General features: G+C 40.8%; 2 long non-coding RNA genes across 2 annotated transcripts in view; both read right to left on the bottom strand.

Annotated features, from left to right (window-relative positions):
• The window catches only part of SPANXA2-OT1 (SPANXA2 overlapping transcript 1), a 147,091-nt gene that overhangs the window by 8,890 nt on the left and 118,144 nt on the right, over positions 1-20,057 (bottom strand). The window lies entirely within an intron of this gene.
• LOC645188 (uncharacterized) lies at positions 14,306-15,184 on the bottom strand. The gene is made up of 2 exons (NR_171017.1): positions 14,809-15,184; positions 14,306-14,619 (listed from the first exon to the last, which is right to left on the bottom strand). It is a non-coding gene; the product is annotated as an uncharacterized LOC645188 (long non-coding RNA).

The raw sequence follows: 20,057 nt of genomic DNA, 5'->3' as shown, positions 1-20,057 counted from the left end.
GAATGGATGTGAAGGCCTTACTGTGAACTACTACAGACTTTATAAAAATTGAACACTTAGACTACACTAAATATATTAAAACAGTTTTCTTCCTTCAATAATAAATTAACCTTATCTTCCTGTAACTTTTTTACGTTATACACTTTCAACTTTTTAAATCCTTCATAATAACATTTAGCTTAAAAACTAAACACATTACACAGCTGTACAAACATATCTTAATTATTCATATCCTTATTCTATAAGCTTTCCTCTATTTTTAAATTTATTGCACTTTTTAAACTTTTTCTTTAAAGACATAAACACACATTTGCCTAGGGCTACACAGGGTCAGGATTGTCAATATCACTGTTGTCCACCTCCACAACTTGTCCCACTGTAAGTTTTTCAGTGGCAATAACAGGAATGGAGCTGTCATCTTTTATGATAACAATGACTTCTTCTGAAATACCTCCTGAAGGACTGACCTCAGACTGTTTTATAGTTAACATTATTCCAGAAGAAGTACATTCTAAAATCGTGATGAAAATTACGGATAGCATGGTGAATACTGTGAACCCCAAATATCTGAAACAGGTCTCAGACAATTAGGAAGTTTATTTTGCCAAAGTTAAGGATGCACACCCATGACACAGCCTCAGGAGGTCCTGATGACATGTGCCTGAGGTGGTCGGGGTACAGCTGGTTTTATACATTTTAGGGAAACACAAAACATCCATCAATATATGTAAGATGAACAATGGTTCAGTTCAGAAAGGCGGGACAACTCAAAGCAAAGGAAGGGGCTTCCATGTCACAGGTAGATGAGACAAATTGTTGCATTCTTTTGAGTTTCTGATTAGCCTTTCCAAAGGAGGCAATCAGATACACATTTATCTCAGTGAGCAGAAAAATGACTTTGAATCGAATGGGAGGCAGTTTTGCCCTAAGCAGTTCCCAGCTTAACTTTTTTCTTTAGCTTAGTAATTTTGGGGTCCCAAGATTTATTTTCCTTTCACAATATACAACCAGCAACATATTTGTTTGTTGTCATCATCAAATATTATTTACTACACATAATTGTATGAGCTACACATTTATATTACTGGTAGTAGAGTAGGTTTGTTTATACCAGAATTATCACAAACATATGAGTATTGCATTCTGCTACAATGTTACTAGGCAAAAGGAACTTTTCAGCTCTATTATAATCTTAGGAAAACACCATAGTATATGCAGTGCATCATTGACTGAAATATTGGTATGCAGCACATGACTCAGTATGCAGCACGAGAGATACAGACTACATATTTATGCCTTCCCAAAATCCATATGTGGAAGCCCTAATCCCCCTGATATGGTTTGGCTCTGTATCCCCACCCAAATACCATCTCGAATTGTAATCCGCAGGTGTTGAGAGGGGAATCTGGTGGGGGATGATCTGGATAATGGGGGTGGTTTCTCTCATGCTGTTATCATGATAATAAGTGAATTCTCACGAGATCCGATGGTATTGTAAGTGTTTGGTAAGTTTCTCATCCGCTTGCTGGCTCTCTCAACTGCCACCATGTAAGATGTGCCTGCTTTCCCTTCCACCATGATTGTAAGTTTCCTGAGGTGTCCCGAGACATGCAGAACTGTGAGTTGATTAAACTTCCTTTGTTCATGAATTACCTCGTCTTGAGAATATCTTTATAGCAGTGTGAAAATGGACTAATTCAGTAAATTGATAGCACAGAGTGGGGCGCTGCTATAAAGATACTTGAAAATGTGAAAGTGACTTTGGAACTGGGTAATGGGCAGAGGTTGGAACAGTTTGGAGGGCTCAGAAGAAGGCAGGAAGATGTGAGAAAGTTCGGAGCTTCCTAGAGACTCGTATGGTTTTGACCAAAATGTGGATAGTGATGTGAACAGTGAAGTCCAGGCTGAGGTGGTCTCGGGTGGAGATGAGAAACTTATTGGGAACTAGAGTAAAAATCACTCTTGCTATGTTTAGCAAAGAGACTGGTAGCATTTTGCCCCTGCCCTGGAGATCTGTGGAACTTTTAACTTGACAGAGATGATTGATGGTATCTGCCAGAAGAAATTTCTAAGTGGCAAAGTGTTCCAGAGGAAGCAGAGCATAGAAGTTTAGATTATTTGCAACCTGACAATGCAATAGAAAAGAAAAACCCATTTTCCTGGGAGAAATTTAAGCCAGTTGCAGAAATTTGCATAAGTAATGAAAAGCCTATTGTTAATCACCAAGACAATGGGGAAAATGTCTCCGTGGCATTTCAGAGATCTTGCTGGCAGCCCCTCCCATCATAGGCCCAGAGGCCAAGAAGAAAAAACTGGTTCACTGGGCAGGGCCCATGGCCCCCTGCTGTGTGCAGCATCAAGAATTGATGCCCTGTGTCCCAGCTGCTCCAGCTCCAGCCTTGGCTAAAAGGGGCCAAGGTACAGCTTGGGCTGTTGTTTCAGAGGGTGCAAGACCCAAGCTTTGGTGGCTTCCATGTGGTGTTGGGTCTGTGGGAGCACAGAACTCAAAAATTGAGGTTTAGGGACCTCTGCCTAGATTACAGAGGATTTATGGAAATAACTGATTGTCCAGGCAGAAATTTGCTGCACGGGTGGAGCCCACGTGGAGAACCTCTGCTAGGGCAGTGCAGAAGGGAAATGTGGGGTTGGAGCCCCCACACAGAGTCCTCACTGAGGCACTGTCTACTAGAATGTAAGAAGGCAGCTACCATCCTCCAGACCCAAAAATGATAGATCCACAGACAGCTTGCACTGTGCACCTGGAAAAGCCACAGATACTCAATGCTAGCCTGTGAAAGCAGCTGAGAGTGGGGCTATACCCTGCAAAGCCACAGGGGCAGAGCTGCCCAAGATCATGGGAACCCACCTCTTGTGCCAGAGTGACCTGGATGTGAAACATGGATTCAAAGGAGATCATTTTGGAGCTTTAAAATATCATGACTGCCCTGTTGGATTCCGGACTTGCGTGGGGCCTGTAGCCACTTTGTTTTGGCCAATTTCTCCAATTTGCAATTAGAACATTTATCAATGGCTTTACCCCCTTTGTGTCTTGGAAGTAACTAGCTTGCTTTTGATTTTGCAGGCTCATAGGTAGAAGGGACTTGCCTTGTCTCAGATGTGAGTTTGGACTGTGGACTTTTGAGTTACTGTTGAAATGAGTTAAGACTTTGGGGGGCTGTTGGAAAGGCATAATTTGTTTTGAAATGTGACAAGACATGAGATTTGGGAGGGGCCAGTGGCAGAATGAAATGGTTTGTCTCTATGTCTCCACCCAAATCTCATCTCATATGGTAATTCCCAGGTGTTGAGGGAGGAAGCTGGTGAGAGATGATTAAATCAGGGGGGCAGTTTCACCCATGCTGTTCTCACGATTGTGAGTGAGTTCTCATGAGATCTGATGGTTTTGTAAGTTATTAGCAAGTTCCTTCTTCGCTCTCTGGCTCTCTCGCCTGCCGCCACGTAAGATGTGCCTGCTTCCACTTCTGCCATGATTGTAATTTTCCTAAAGCCTCCCCAGCCATGAGGAAATGTGAGTCACTTAAATCTCCTTAGTTTATGAATTATGTACTCTCAGGTGGTATCTTTATAGCAGTATGAAAACTAATACACCCTCCATGGTTGTATTTGGAGATGGGGCCTCTAAGGAAGTAATTAAGATTAGATGAGTTCGTAAGGGTGGGGCCTTTATCTGATAGAATTAGTGCCCTTGTAACAGACACTAGAGAGCTTGCTCTCCCTTCCATGTGAGGATGCAATGAGAAGGCCACTGTCTATAACTAGGAAAAAAATCATCACCAGAACGCATCATACTGGCACGCTAATCTCAGATTTCTGGTCTCCAGACAATGAGAAATAAATTTCTGTTGTTTGAACAACCCATTCTGTGGTATTGTGTTATAGCAGCCAAAAAAGACCAATAAAGTGCAGTGGCCAAAAACTGGAATCAACCTGAATGCCTGCAATAGAGAAATGGCTTAATAAGTTTCATTTAAGCCATCCTCATTCACATGACTACATTTAAAAGTATGATAATTCTATACCAGAAAATGTGGATAGATTTTTATGTAGTGTTTCTAAGTTATATAACCAAGATGCATTAAAGAGTAAAATAGTGCTTCTATACAGGTGTACGTATATGTATATATGCTATATTACTATATGAAATTGGCAAAGATATGGAAAAATGCACAATCACCTTTTAACATTGGTTATCCAATTGGAGGAGAGAGTAAAGAAATGCAAAATTTTATAGAGATGGTCTTTCTAAACAATATATACATATATGTATATACGTGTATACATAACTCTTACATAAATTCACATATGAGCGTTTATATGTATAAAGCTATGTATATATGAAAAGATAGTTGCCAATATTGTGCATATTGCTGGATATTTTTGGTTTTCAGTGTTTTATGTATTTTTAAACTTTCTTGTAACTTGAATTTTTTTTTTTTTTTTTTTTTTAGATGGAGGCTTGCTCTGTCACCCAGGCTGGAGTGCAGTGGTGTGATCTCGGTTCACTGCAACCTCCACCTCCCGAGTTCAAGCGATTCTCCTGCCTCAGCCTCCCAAGTAGTTGGGACTACAAGCATGCACCACCACATCCAGGTAATTTTTGTATTTTTAGTAGAGATGGGGTTTCACCATATTGGTCAGGCTGGTCTTGAACTCCTGATCTTGTGATCCATTCGCCTCAGCCTGCCACAATGCTAGGATTACGGGCGTGAGCCACCATGCCCCACCCTGAATTTTTTTTAAATAAAATTTTTAAATGATTTTAAGCTTTAACCTTTGTCTTAATCCATTTTATCTTACTAAAATGTAATACTACATACCGGCTAAATTAAAAACAATAGGACTTTATGGCTGGGCGTGGTGGCTCACGCCTGTAATCCCACCACTTTGGGAGACCAAGGTGGGCAGATCACAAGGTCAGGAGATTGAGACCATCCTCGCTAACATGGTGAAACCCCATCTCTACTAAAAATACAAAAAAAAAAAAAATTGCTGGGCATTGTGGCAGGAGCCTGTAGTCCCAGCTCCTCAGGAGACTGAGGCAGAAAAATTGCTTGAACCCCAGGCGGAGGTTGCAGTCAGCCAAGATCACACCACTGCACTACAGCCTGGGTGACAGAGCGAGAATCCATCTCAAAAAAAAAAAAACCAAAACAGAACAAAAAGTTTATTTAGCTCATTTTTCTAGAACTGGGAAGTCCAAGGGCATGGTGTTAGCATCTGGTGAGGGCCTTCTTCCTACATCATAAGATGAGAGATGGCATCACATGGTGAGAGGGCAACAGCATTGGAGTCAGCCCAGGTATCTCTAACCTCTTCCTATAAAGCTACTATTCCCATATCATAGGGGCTCCATCCTGATGAACTTATCCAATCCAAATTACTTCCCAAATACCTCACCTCCTATTGACATATGAATCTGAGGATTATATTTTCAATACATGCAATTTTGGGGACACATTCAAACCACAGCAACATTTCTAAATAAAACATTATACAGCAGATTCAGAAAATAACCTAACATGTATAAAATTGATGATTGTTTTGTCTTCCATTTATTCATCAAACATACATTGAGCAGCCACCATGATGTTGTGATAAGTGTATTAAGGTGGTTGCAATTACAAAAATGAATGAAATATGCTTCTTCCTGGTGTATATTGTATAATGAGGGAGACAAAGTTGTAAATCAATGATTTTAATACAACATGGTAAGTGCTCTAATACAAGTAGTAGTAGGACAACAGGAGCCACTAACTCTGCTGGGGTTGGTGGTGGGGAGACATCAGAGTGGGAGCAACATTTGATCTTAGCCTTGAAGAATGATTAAGCTTTCATCACTCATCAGACATAGGTGGGGAAGAGAAAGCAATTAATTCAAAGAGGAAGGAAAAACACGTAGCACTATTTTACTTGCTCATCAGTGACATGTAAGGAGCAGTAAACAGCTTGGTTTTTTGTTTGTTTATTTGTGTCTGTGTGTGTGTTTTTGAGATGGAGTCTCACTCTGTCGCCCAGGCTGGAGTGCAGTGGCATGGTCTCGGCTCACTGCAATCTCCGCCTCCTGGATTCAAAAGAGTTCTTCTGCCTCAGCCTCCCGAATAGCTGAAACTACAGGTGCATGCCACCACGGCCCCCTAATTTTCGTATTTTTATTAGAGATTCGGTGTCACCATATTGGCCAGGCTGGTCTCGAACTCCTGACCTCGTGATCTGCCCACCACACCTTCCAAAGTGCTGGGATAATAGGCGTGAGCCACCATGCCCAGCCTACAGCTTGTTAATTATAGTTCTAAATGACAATAATGTGGAAAGACAGTGTATTAGTCTGTTCTTATACTACTAATAAAGACATAACTGAGACTGGGTAATTTATAAAGGAAAGAGGTTTAATGGACTCACAATTCCACATGACTGGGGAAGCCTCACAATCATCGCAGAAGGCAAATGAGCAGCAAAGTCACATCTTACGTGGCAGCAGGCAAGAGAGCTTGTGCAGGTTAACTCCCATTTATAAAACCATCAGATCTCCTGAGATGTATTCACTACCATGGCAACAGTAGGGCAGAAGTCACCACCATGATTCAATTATCTCCACCTGGCCCAACCCTTGACATGGGAATTATTACAATTCGAGGTGAGATTTGGATGGGGACACAGCCAACCATATCATTCTGCCACCGGCCCCTCCCAAATCTCATGTCCTCACATTTCAAAACCAATCATGCCTTCCCAAAAGTCCCCCAAAGGCTTAAATCATTTCAGCATTAACTCAAAAGTCCACAGGCCAAGGTCTCATCTGAGACAAGGTAAGTCCCTTCTGCCTATGAGCCTGTAAAATCAAAAGCAAGTTAGTTACTTCCGAGACACAATGCAAGTATAGGCACTGGGTAAAGACGCCCATTCCACATGGGAGAAATTGGCCAAAACAAAGGGGCTACAGGCCCCATTCAAGTCCAAAATCCAACAGGGCAGTCATTAAACCTTAAAGTTCCAACATGATCTCCTTTGACTCCATGTATCACATCCAGTTCACGCTGATGCAAGTAGTGGACTCCCATGGCCTTGGGCAGCTCTGCCCCTGTGGCTTTGCAGGGTACAGCCCCTCTCCCAGCTGTTTTCACAGGCTGGCATTGAGTGTCTGCAGCTTTTTTAGGTGCACGGTGCAAGCTGTCAGTGGATCTACCATTCTGGGGTCTGGAGGACAGTGGCCCTCTTCCCACAGCTACACTAGGCAGTGCCCCAGTGGGGACTCTGTGTGGGGGTTCTGACCCCACATTTCCCTTCCACACAGGCCAAGCAGAGGTTCTCCATGAGGGGTCCACCCCTGCAGCACACCTCTGCCTGGACAGCCATGTGTTTCTATATATCCTCTGAAATCTAGTAGTAAGAGGTTCCCAAATCTCAATTTTTGTCTTCCACATACCCACGGGACCAACATCATGTGGAAGCTACCAAGGCTTAGGACTTGAATCCTCTGAAGCAATGGCCTGAGATGCACCTTGGCCACTTTTAACCTTGGACTGAAGTGCCTAGGAAGCAGGCACCAAGTCAAGAGGCTACACACAGCAGAGGGTCCCTGGATCTGGCACAAGAAACCATTTTTCTCTTCTAGGCCTCCAGGCCTGTGATGGAAGGGGCTGCAATGAAGGTCTCTGACATGCCCTGGAGTCATTTTCCCCATTGTTTTAACAATTAGTATTTGGTTCCTCATTACTTATGCAAATTTTTGGAGCTGGCTTGAAGTTCTCCCCAGAAAATAGGTTTTTCTTTTCTATTGCATTATCAGGCTGTAAACTTTTCCAAGTTTTATGCTCTGTTTCCTCTTGAACACTTTGCTGCTTAGAAATTTCTTCTGCCAGATACCCTAAATTATCTCTCTCAAGTTCAAAGTTCCACAGATCTCTAGGGCAGAGGCAAAATGCCATAAGTCTCTTTCTATGGCAAGAATGACCTTTACTCCAGTTCCCAAGTTCCTCATCTCCATCTGAGACCACCTCAGCCTGGACTTTATTGTCTATATCACTATCTGCCTTTTGGTCAAGGCCATTCAACAAGTCTCTAGGAAGTTCCAAAGTTCTCCATATCTTCCTGTCCTCTCCTGAGACCTCCAAACCTCTGTTCCAACCTGTGGCTGTTACCCAGGTCCAAAGACGCTTCCACATGTTTGGATATCTTTACAGCAGTGCTCCACTCTCTGCGGTACCAATTTGCTGTATTAGTCTGTTGCTGTATTAGTTTGCTGCTAATAAAGACAAACCCAAGACTGGGTAATTTATAAAGGAAAGAGTTTAATTGACTCACAGTTCCACATTGCTGGAGATGCCTCACAATCATGGCAGAAGGCAAATGAGGAGCAAAATCACATCTTACATGGAGGCAGGCAAGAAATCTTATGCAGGGGAACTCCCATTTATAAAACCATCATATCTCATGAGGTATCAGATGTCCAGGATAAAAGCATGGGGCAAACAACTAAAAGCACCAAGGGACAAAGATATTTAGAGAAAGTTCTGGTTTGAAAGTAATAAAATGAGAACTGGCTTCAAAAAAATGCAAACATTGTTTTCTGGATGAAGAAACACACAAATATGCATTTAACAGAAAAAAAAAACACCAAAGAAATCTGGCTAAGTTAAGCAACTTGTCTGCAGTTAGGTTAGAAACATGGGTTGCTGCTCATTTACACCTGTGGAAGGAGGTTGGAGAGGAGAGATGTTCAAATGATGACTCATCAGGTACAAAGAGAAAATGTCATAGATCAGCCACTACCACAACTTCATTTTATAAATTAATCATAAGCCATATATGACCAGTTATTATGAAGTATCTAAGGTGATATGGATTGGCTGTGTCCCCATCCAAGTCTCTTTTTAAATTGTAGTTCCCATAATCCCCACATGTTGTGGGAGGGACCTGTTTGGAAGTAATTGAATCATGGGGTCAGTTATCCTCATGCTGTTCTCATGATAGTGAGTTCTCAGGAGATCTGATGGTTTTATAAGGGACTTTTTTCCCTTTTGCTCAGTACCTCTCTCTTGTTGCCTTGTGAAGAAGGATGTGTTTGCTTTCCCTTCCACCACGATTGAAAATTTCCTGAGACTTTCCCAGCCATGCAGAACTGTGAGTCAATTAACACTTGTTTCTTTACAAATTACCCAGTCTTGGGTATTTCTTCATAGCAGCGTGAGAATGAACTAATACATAAGGGTACCAGAATGCCTAGCTATTGAGCACAGGTGACCAAAGATAATTGTGTCTTCAATAAAAACAAATAAGGGCTCAGTAATCATGAGTTAACAGCAGCTTATACATGACATGCTAGCACTTGGAGAGTTGGCAAAGAAAAGCAAGAAGTAGCTTGCTTTTATTTATGTATTTATTTATATTATGGTTGTTAATAACAGTAGCCATTTTATCAAATGCCTATTATGTGTCTAATATAGTACCAAGTTTTTTACATAAATTACTTCATTCAATTCCAGAGTGACCCTAGGACATAGAGGCGTACCATTATCATCTCATTTTATACATCAGGGAATTAATCCTTACAGAGGTTAAGGAACTTGCTCAGGGACAAATAGCCTTTAGGTGGTGATACTTTAAAATGAGGTCAAACTTCAAAGCCTATCCCCTAAACTGCTATGTTAGATACTAAGTTACATTCTTCCTGCTACAAGCCTAGTCTTAGCTAATATTATCTTATACATGCATTGTTGCTACAATCTGTCACATCTGTGGTCTTATCAAATCTGCAACATCCAGTGATCTTTCTAAAAATTAAATCAATCTACATCACTGTCATGCATCAAAGCCAAAATGGCTTCCACTACATGTAAAATAAAACCCAAGTTCTTAACACTATGAGTCTCTACGTGTCTTTATCTTTGCCAAGCTCTCTAGTCTCAGTTGTCTATTTCCATTCTTCCTCCTCTCACTCTACTCCAGGCATACTTGCCTATTTGCTGCTCCTCAACACTTTGTCCTTATTCTTACTTCATGACATTGCTACTTGCTCTTCTTTATATCTAAGATGTTGTTTATAAAGTCTTCACACAGCAGATTCTATCTCACTGTTTAGTTCTGAATTCAAAAGTCAACTCCTCAGAGATTTTCCCACATCTCCTAAGTAAAATGTTGGCCTCTGTCCCACTACCACCATTCTCACCCTTCCCTTTGACCATGTAAATATAAATTAAACAACTGCATAACTACAGACTATACATTCTTAACTGTAAGCCCAGGACCTAGAACAGGTCTGACACATATCAGGCACTCCATAAAATATTTGTTTGCTGAGACATTGGTACAATAAAATGTCATATTCATATGACCACTAATGCATATATTAGATAAATGCATAATATGCATAAATATATATGCATATATATATATATAGTATGCAGTATATGAGCTTCTTATAGTCATCCTGAAGAAGTGGAATTTATACCCAACACTCAAAATTTGGTTTCAAAGTCAAGACTAATGGTGCCACACATGCACCAAGAGGGTACAATAAGGATTATTATTTACATGAGTCAAACAACAAAAATGGAGTAAGACTGTATGAAACTTCGGCCCTGATGCTTGACTGACAACTGAAATTTGCCATGTTGTATTTATTTTGAACTAGTTTAAATAACATTCTATGAGGCCTCCTACCTAAAATCAACAAGGAAGGTAAAAGTTCCATTGCCTTATTCAAGAGCTGAATGTTGTTTATTTTAAGAAGTGAAATGAGTATCTTGGTCACTATCAATGATGTCTGGAACTCAAAAGTCTACAACACCAAACACAAAGGAATGCCTTGGTAAGAACATGGTATTGAGGTTTTCATATGTACAGAGAAATGCATAATCTTAATTTACATTTGGGGCATCTATGAGTCAAAATAATTCAAGAGTTCTTTAACCCAAATGGGGCAAACTTGGATAAAGAATTGTTTTCTCAATGGCCAGACTATTGGGTAATCTGCCCCAATATTCACGTAGGTTCTTTTCTATTTTCCTCAAGCGTCGGCCAGCTTGAGAAATAAAGGGACAGAGTACAAAAGAGAGAAATTTTAAAGCTGGGCGTCCGGGGGAGACATCACGTGTCCGTAGGTTCCGTGATGCCCCACAAGCCACAAAAACCAGCAAGTTTTTATTAGGGAGTTTCAAAAGGGGAGGGAGTGTGCAAATAGGTGTGGATCACAGACATCAAGTACTTTACAAGGTAATAGAATATCACAAGGCAAGTGGAGGCAGGGTGAGATGATAGGACCACAGGACCGAGGCAGAATTAAAATTGCTAATGAAGTTTCGGGCACCATTGTCATTGATAACATCTTATCAGGAGACAGCGTTTTGAGATCAACCGGTCTGACCAAAATTTATTAGGTGGGAATTTCCTCTTCCTAATCAGCCTGGGAGCACTATGGGAGACTGGACTCTATTTCACCTCTGCAGTCTCGACCAAAAGAGACAACCACGCCCGGGGGGGCAGTTCAGAAACCCACCCCCAGGTACGCATTCTCTTTCTCAGGGATGTTCCATGCTGAGAAAAAGAATTCAGCAATATTTCTCCCATTTGCTTTTGAAAGAAGAGAAATATGGCTCTGTTTCAACCGGCTTACCAGCGGTCAGAGTTTAAGGTTATCTCTCTTATTCCCTGAACAACTGCTGTTATCCTGTTCTTTTTTCAAGGTGCCCACATTTCATATTGCTCAAACACACATGCTGTACAATTTGTGCAGTTAATGCAATTATTACAGGGCCCTGAGGCGATATACATCCTCATCAGCTGACAGGATTAAGAGATTAAAGTAAAGACGGCATAGGAAACCACAAGGGTATTGATTGGGGAAGTGATAAGTGTCCATGAAATCTTTACAAGTTATGTTTAGAGACTGCAGTAAAGACAGGCATAAGAAATTACAAAAGTATTAATTTGGGGAACTAATAAATGTCCATGAAATCTTCACAATTCACGTTCTTCTGCCATGGCTTCAGCCGTTCCGTCCATTTGGGGTCCCTGACTTCCCACAACACCAGACCAAATAGTCAGACAATTGACAATAGCTCAAAGGTCTCTAAAAATGTTCAGATGAGGTCAATTAATGGCCAGGACATCCAGTGTTAAGATGATTGTTTAGTTTGGCCAACTGAATCTTGGGTTTTGTCCTTTATCAGGGAAATCTTGGTTAAGATATGAAAAGCAGCAGTTCCCAAGCAACCTCTATTAGGGGTGAGGGTGGTAATGCCATTGGTAATAGTGAATGATAATCCTTCGGTAGTCACTCTGTTGATTCTAAGGGACTCCCTGGTTATCCAAGGAGTCTGAGAGAGCAATGTCGTCTTACAGAACTGTGGAATCTAGTGAGGGACTGAGGACAGAGGAGTTACCGTCTCCTGTAGGTGGGAACATACAGAAAAATCAGGTGTGGCTCCATCCTGTAGTGAGGAAGATTCACTAGCCATGATGAGCTAACTGGTTGCTAATTCCAGGACCCAGGCATAATGAACACCTAGATGTTGAGGGTCACAGGTACAGGGCCTGAGAGAACTTATATTTCTGGTCAAAACCCAGTAGGTTGCCACCAGTTGCCACACTAATGGCATATAGCATAAAGCCAAACAGAGCAGTTCCTTGTATCAGAAGCCCATGGGCAACTAAAGGCTATCATTGCTGGTCTGGTGACTTCAGTAAGTATGAAATGAGGTTGCTAAAATCTCTACAGTGCTTAAGTCTCTGGGGAGACCTAACACAAGTGCCTGTTGCATAGCAATTTAGACAAATTCCAGAGCCTTTTGTTGCAGGTGGCTTCATTCAAGATGGACCAATTTACAAGTGACAGAACAAATACACTTAAATAAATTTGTATGTAGGGAATATATTACCTCCAGGATCCAAAAATGTCTAAATGATATTAGACTTGTTTTAAAAATGTGGGTGCTGAGACTAAAAGCTTTTTCTTGACACTGTTGCATTGGAGCAGCCCTCTGATTACCAAATAATTTTCAGAAATTTAACTGATGTAGTGTGGCTTTGTACTATGTGTGAGGGCAATGGCTGATTTCCTTTCTGTGATCTTTTTTGCTAACATTTTTATGTCCTGAAGAAGTGTCTCATAGGAAACTCCTCAGAAGAGGTTGTCATCAGTGTAATGTCATACCTGAGCATCTAGGAAAATCTGGATGTAGTTAATATTCTGCCTGTGAAGATTATATGAGATGACGGAAGTGGAAAGATACCCCACCAAGTACCCTGGTAGAGTTGTATTGTGTCCCTTTGAAGGTGAAGGTAAGTACACTGCAGGTGAGAGGCTGTTGAAACAGGAAGTGAACAGGACATTTAGCCAAATACTTTGCTATTACTGCAAACTATTTACCAGATACGTATTGGATGGAATCAGTAAATTGAATAATATTAGGTATGAAGACCTGATGAGTGGAACCATGGCATTAAGGTTACAGTAATATACACTGAGGCACCATTTATATTTTCCAGATTTAAGAACAATCCAAATTTGGCTGTTAAATGCATAAGCAGTGAGGGTAATCATCTATACAGGTCTAATTCTCTAAATAGGTCTTATATAATGGGTTTCAATTATTGAAGATTCTATTTTAATTTAGATTGGGCTTTTTTAAAAAGCAACGGAGGAAGATGTTAATTATTAACTTATTTTAACTGCGTGAGGCAGTCCATAGGGTCCCATTTTTCAAGCTGATCACAAGTACCAAAGACTTAATTTTAATTTATTACTCATTAGGTTAGATTGTCCATGATCAGTAGGGGATATTTGGAAAGAATTGATGCCATGGATATGGGGATTTTAGGCAAGGGAATAATTAAAATAGTTGAGGCTGGGCATATCTGTTCATTTCCATTTTAAATTCAGTAACTCTCCAGTTGTTTTTATCAGCTTGATCAGATGTGGGGTAGGAGAAGGGAATGAGATGAAGCTTAAAATCTGGCGGCAGACAAACATCAAAAACGGAATCAAACCCATTGTTGCATACTACCACCCCATACACATCACAACTCTCCCTATCTACACCCTCCCACACACACAGAAACACCAATTCCTTTTCCTCTTTTACTGTGGAATAAATTATTAAGCAGGAAATTTGTCTTCAGTGCTCGTTCCTCATCTAGTCCTTAATCCCAATGTCTGGCTAACTGTGGCTACCAGCCTGTCTCACAACCTGGAAGGTTCTCAACTCCCTCCCTCCTCATACACATGCTCTTCCCCTTCTTTCCCTCCCTCTCCATTATTAGAAAACACCACAGAGATATACAGAACTTTTCAAAATCTTTTGGTTGAATTTTAATCACCAACATCCAAGAATCTTGGTGCAATATGTAGTTTCTCTGCACAGGAGACCATTTCTAGAGGTTAACCTAGAGATGAGATAGGTCTTGGTCTTCTGATGAGCTCTCAGAATCACTTGAGGTGGGAGATTACTCGTGGCTGTCTTCATCCTCATTTGGCTGATTTTCATCCCTTTTTTTATTACTGTGGTAATAAAAAATTAATACAGTTGACTTTTTCCCCGCTTTACGTCTTTCTGAATTCTGCTGAACAAATGATCTTATCTTCTTTGCTGCCTTCAACAACTGGAAGAAAAACAGAGTGAGCCAAAAGAGACATTAATTTGGAGAAGTGGATGGGGAATGTGTGGAAAGGGAGATTTTGTGATGATGTGTACAGGTTGAGGAAAGATTTTGTGCCAGATAAGGACAAGGTAGGAATCTTGGGTTAGGTATCAATGGGGAGGAAGAGTCACATAATTAGGGATATCTGACCTCGTCAGTTTCACCTTCTTTAGCTTCACAAGTAGTTTTCTTTCTCCATTTCATGCTGGGATTTTCTTGGCTTGTGCTTGTGGATGGTTCAGGCATGTCTGAACTAGCTTCTCCTACTTCTTCGGTAACCTTTGGGATAATGTAGCAATGGTGGCCTATATTCCCTTCTGGCTCCTTGTTAATCTCCGCCATCTTAGAGCAAAAGTAGGCTATAGCCTCTTTTATTTCTTCAGGAACATCTTCTATTGTAGAACAACAGTAGCGTACAGTGTCTTCCTCTTCTTCACTAAACTCTGCCATCCTAGATGAACAGTAGCCTACAGCCTCTCCTGATTTTTCCCTAACCCCTGCCACCCTAGAGCAACAGTAGCCTACTCCAGGCCTCATGATCTCTCTCTATATATACTCCTCAGGACAATGAGATTCCACATTCTTCAGTTTGATTGGCCAGCAAGAAATTACTCTGCCAGTGGTAGCCCTGGGGTGGCTTAGACATCACCAGGCAACACTCCTGACAATTTCATGGCTTACACATCACAAAGCACCACTCCTGACAATTCCATGCGGGGAGGGACAGGGTACAGAGGAGTCTAAATGGTCTGGTTAGAGAAAAAGGAGAGCTTCCTCAACACCAATAAGGGTCATTCCAAAGTGACCTCTCACCCTTCTTTGTCTCTCCTAGTTTAATTGTGGTGTGTCACATGGCTTAGAAGGGTGTTTCCCCCAAGGCATTCCCCATGGCTACCCCAATCAGTCATTCATTCTGTTGTCTCCCAGCCTTCACCAATACTGGATATTTTGTATGTCTTATCGAAAATCCTTCTGAGCCAGTGTACCCATATTTAAGTCTAAATACAGATGTGAGTTATCTCACTTTTCTCCAACAACACGTGCCTCTACCAGGCAACTTTCCCAAGGTGTGTGTGTGTGTGTGTGTGTGTGTGTGTGTGTGTGTGTGTGGTTACTGCATACAATTCATGGACATTCCTCTCTACCTTATTCATATAAGTTTCTTCTTTCAGAGAACCTCATATCAAGTCAATATCATCAGGATTATGGGACTCCTTCATGAAAATGGTTGAATGAATCCGTTTTTTCCACAAGGGTGTCATGGATGTTTCTCCCTAAAACTCTGATGATCAAAATCTTTTTTGTGACACTGACCTAAACAGTATCGCAAGAAGCATTTTTAAAGCTCCTAGTGAGTTATCTGCTTTTAGGAGTGTGTTCTCAGCATTTCAAATAGTAACTGCTCTCCCTCCATATGAGTGACCAACCAGTGGGCCTATATATTGAAGAGACTCTCAGTCTTTCTCCTCAACTGTCTAAAGAAAGAATACTAACACCTGGTTTAGAAACAACTGATGGTAAAAACGGAAGAGTTTATCCTTGAGCCTAGTTTCAGTCATATCTTATATTGGAATTGAGACACATGATTCAATCTGAATTCACAGATCCAGGCTGAAACACAAGATTCAGGGCTGCATTAAGAAGGGCTCCAACCCAATATTCCTGTCAATAAATGTCAATTAGTTAAACTGCTGACTTACGTTGTTGAAATCTTTAGCATAGGCTTGGTAGAACCCTACCAATGCTGCACAAAGCAGTACAGTTTAAAATACAAGCTAGGCCGCAGGCAGTAGCTCAAACTGCATGTCACCAGCAGGTAGCAGTGCCAGTTAGGAAGCTAAAGCAAGAGAAAAAAGATCCCTGGTGGTAGTGAAGACTGCCTAGATATCCTGTTCACAGATTCAATGTGACAGGATGGATTCCACACCAAAAATTTGGTTTGGATGTCAAAACTGATGATACACGCACCAAAAGGGAATGGAAAATTTTATTACTCACATAATGAGGCTTTCTGGGGAGATCAGGACAGGTTTCCAAGCAGGTAAAAGAATGCTTGAGAGAACAGAGAGAAAAAAAAAAAAAATGGCTTGGCTTTTATGACGGTTAGGGGGTAAAGCTGGTATGAGTGTCCCACACACAGACTAGGGCTTGCATGGTTTGACCTTCACACTAGCCCTAAAGAAGGAATCACCTGGGCTTTCTTATCAGATCTAGGTAAGAAGAGGAAGAGGAAGCGGTGGGTCGTGAAAATTGTTAGCCGTCAAATGTAAAACATGGAGTCAGATTCTATTACAGAGCTATTTTACAGAAGTGTTGTGTAAATGAAAAACGTTCCAGCAAAATTTAGAATTTTCAAAACCACTGTAACCAAGCTTCTCATATTGTTTTTGGCATAAGCTGCATTTCATTACATTAGCATAACCAAAATTATGGTCCTTTAAATATTCTTTAAGAAAGCTTAGGATTATCTTGGTTCATCAACAGAGAAACTGTGCAGAAAGACAAAGCTGTTACCATCAGCAAGTCTGCTACTCTGTCTACAGGAGTGCAGACCTAATTTCACTATCTGCTGAATTATGTGAGGCTTTTTACCTTCTTCCTATCTCAGATCATTAAAGACTGTAATCATAATTACAGAAGCCAACATTTATTGACCACTAAATACATGCTGAAATTAAGCTAAATAATTGTCATACCTGAGACTGGGTAAGTTAGAAAAATCAGAAATTTATTTCTCACAATTCCAGATGCTGAGAAGTGCAAGATCAAGGTGCCAGCAGGTTTGGTTGTCTGGTAAGGGCTTGCTCTCTGCTTCCAAGATGGTACCTTTTTACTGCATCCTCTGGCAGGGAGGAACGCTGTGTCTTCACATGGAAGGTGGTAGAAGGAAAAGCCAGTCTAAAGTTGTATGAAGACTCTTTTTAAGGGCCCTGATCCTATTCATGAGCAAGGAGCCCTCATACCCTAATCACCTGTTAATGACCCCGCCTCTTAATACTATCACATTGGCAAAATCTGAATTTTGGAGGAGACACATTTAAAGCATAGCTATAACCACATCCATATTCAATGCTTGTCAAAACCCTATTGGGGTAATTTGCAAAATAACACTTTTTGCCACCTCCATTCCAATTGTGGAAGCAGAAAAGATCATTGAGGAAAGTACATGGGAATATTTATAGGCCAGGTTGAAAGGGACATGTATCACTCCCACTAACATTTCATTGGCAAGAGCTCACATAGCCACATTTAACTGCAAGAGAGATGGATAAATGGAATCTACCAAGAAGAGGATTATTTGAGTGTTGGTGATCAGCTAGCAATCTGCTACAGCTGTCCCATCATCACTTTATTCCTAGTGCATAGAGTAGGGACTGGTATGTAGTAAGTGGTCACAAATATATCTGTTGAGTGAATGAGTTTGAATATTTGGTCAGAGTTACATATAGAAAGATATAGAACTAGGTCAGAAACACATAAAACTTGGTTAGGTAATTTTTTAGATATGCCACCAAATGCACAAGCAACAAACAAAGATTAAACTGGACTATATCAAATTTAAAAATCCGCTGCAAAAAATTTACAAAAAAATGAAAAGGCAACCCAAAGAAAAGGAGAAACATATTTGCAAATCACGTATTTGGCAAAGAACTAGTAGGCAGAATATTCTTACAACTCAAAAACAAAAAAATAAAACACCCAATTAAAAGTTGGGTAAAGAACTTAAGCTGACATTTATCTAAGGAAGATGTATAAATAACCAACAAATACATGAAAAGCTGCTTAATATCATCAGTCATTAGGGAAAATGCAAATCAAAATCACAACAAGATACCACTTCACACCTACTAAGATAATTATATTAATTTTTTTTTTTTTTTTTTTGAGACGGAGTCTTGCTTTGTCACCCAGGCTGGAGTGCAGTAGCCCAAGCTCGGCTCACTGCAACCTCCACCTCCCAGGTTCAAGTGATTCTCCTGCCTCAGCCTCGCATGTAGCTGGCACTACAGGCGCGTGCCACCACGCCCAGCTAATTTTTTTTGTATTTTTAGTACAGATGGGGTTTCACCATGTTGGCCAGGCTGGTCTCACACTCCTGACCTCAGGTGATCCACTCGCCTTGGCCTCCCAAAGTGCTGGGATTACAGGCGTGAGCCACTGTGCCTGGCCTATATAAATAATTTTTTAGATGGAAAATAACAAGCGTCGGTGAGGATGTGGATAAACTGGAACCCTCATACACTTCTGGAGGAAATGTATAATGGTGCAGTCTCCATGTAAAACAGTTTGGCAATTCCTCAAAAAGTTAAACATAAACTTACTATATGACCCAACATAATACTCCTAGGTATATAACCAAAATAATTGAAAACAGAAAAAAACAGTTGAGTGGAGCATTACAACAGCCAAAGGCAAATGATGTTTTAAGAAGAAAAAATAGTCAGTTTCATGAAATACTTCTCACAGGTAATATGGGGCAACACAAGTGATCATTGAACTTGATAGTATGGAAGTTATTGGTAATCTTGAAAAAAAAGGAGAATAAAAGAATGGAAAATATTTAGTGTAAACCTGAATGACGTATATTAAGAACACAATATGAGGTGAGGAAGTGAGAGGTTTCATGCTAAGAAAAGGAAAAACCATGGAGTTGGACATTGATTTGGTGTCCCGAGAGTGGTTTTTTTTTGTTTGTGTGGTTTTTTGTTTGTTTGTTTGTTTGAGACAGAGTCTCACTCTGTCGCCTGGCTGGAGTACAGCGGTGTGATCTCAGCTCACTGCAGCCTCTGCCTCCCGGGTTCAAGTGTTTCTCCTGCCTCAGCCTCCTGAGTAGCTGAGATTACAGGCATGCACCACCACGCCCAGCTAATTTTTGTATTTTTAGTAGAGACAGAGTTTCACCATGTTGGTCAGCCTGGTCTCGAACTCCTGACCTCATGATCGCTTGCCTCAGCCTCCCAAAGTGCTGGGATTACAGGCATGAGCCACAATGCCCAGCCGAGAGTGTATTTTTAAGAGGGTAGATTTAGAGCATACCTTTATGCCGATGTGAATGATTAAGTGAAATCAATGATTGTAAAGAGCAAGAGGATAACTGCAGAAGAAAAAAAAATATTGATAATGCAAGAGGAGTATCAGAGCACTAGTAGATGGGACCTACACTCAAAGTAGAAGATCTGGCCTTACATGAGAACAGGTTATTTTATACATTGTACAGAAGAAAAGGAAAGGATTATGACATGGTTACAAATGCAGGTAAGATGGTGAATTTGGTGGTAAAGATAAAAGGGAATAAATCTCTGTTGATTCTTCTATTCTCTCAGTGAAGGAAGAGGAAAGGTCATAAAATGATAGGCATGAGAGGCTGGGTTTCTGAAGAACTCAGAAGAGAATAAGGT

The sequence above is a fragment of the Homo sapiens genome, chromosome X (assembly GCF_000001405.40).
Source record: "Homo sapiens chromosome X, GRCh38.p14 Primary Assembly".
Classification (NCBI taxonomy): Eukaryota; Metazoa; Chordata; class Mammalia; order Primates; family Hominidae; genus Homo; species Homo sapiens.
Note: the sequence above shows the minus strand (reverse complement) of the source record. Positions and strands in the feature narration are given on the sequence as shown.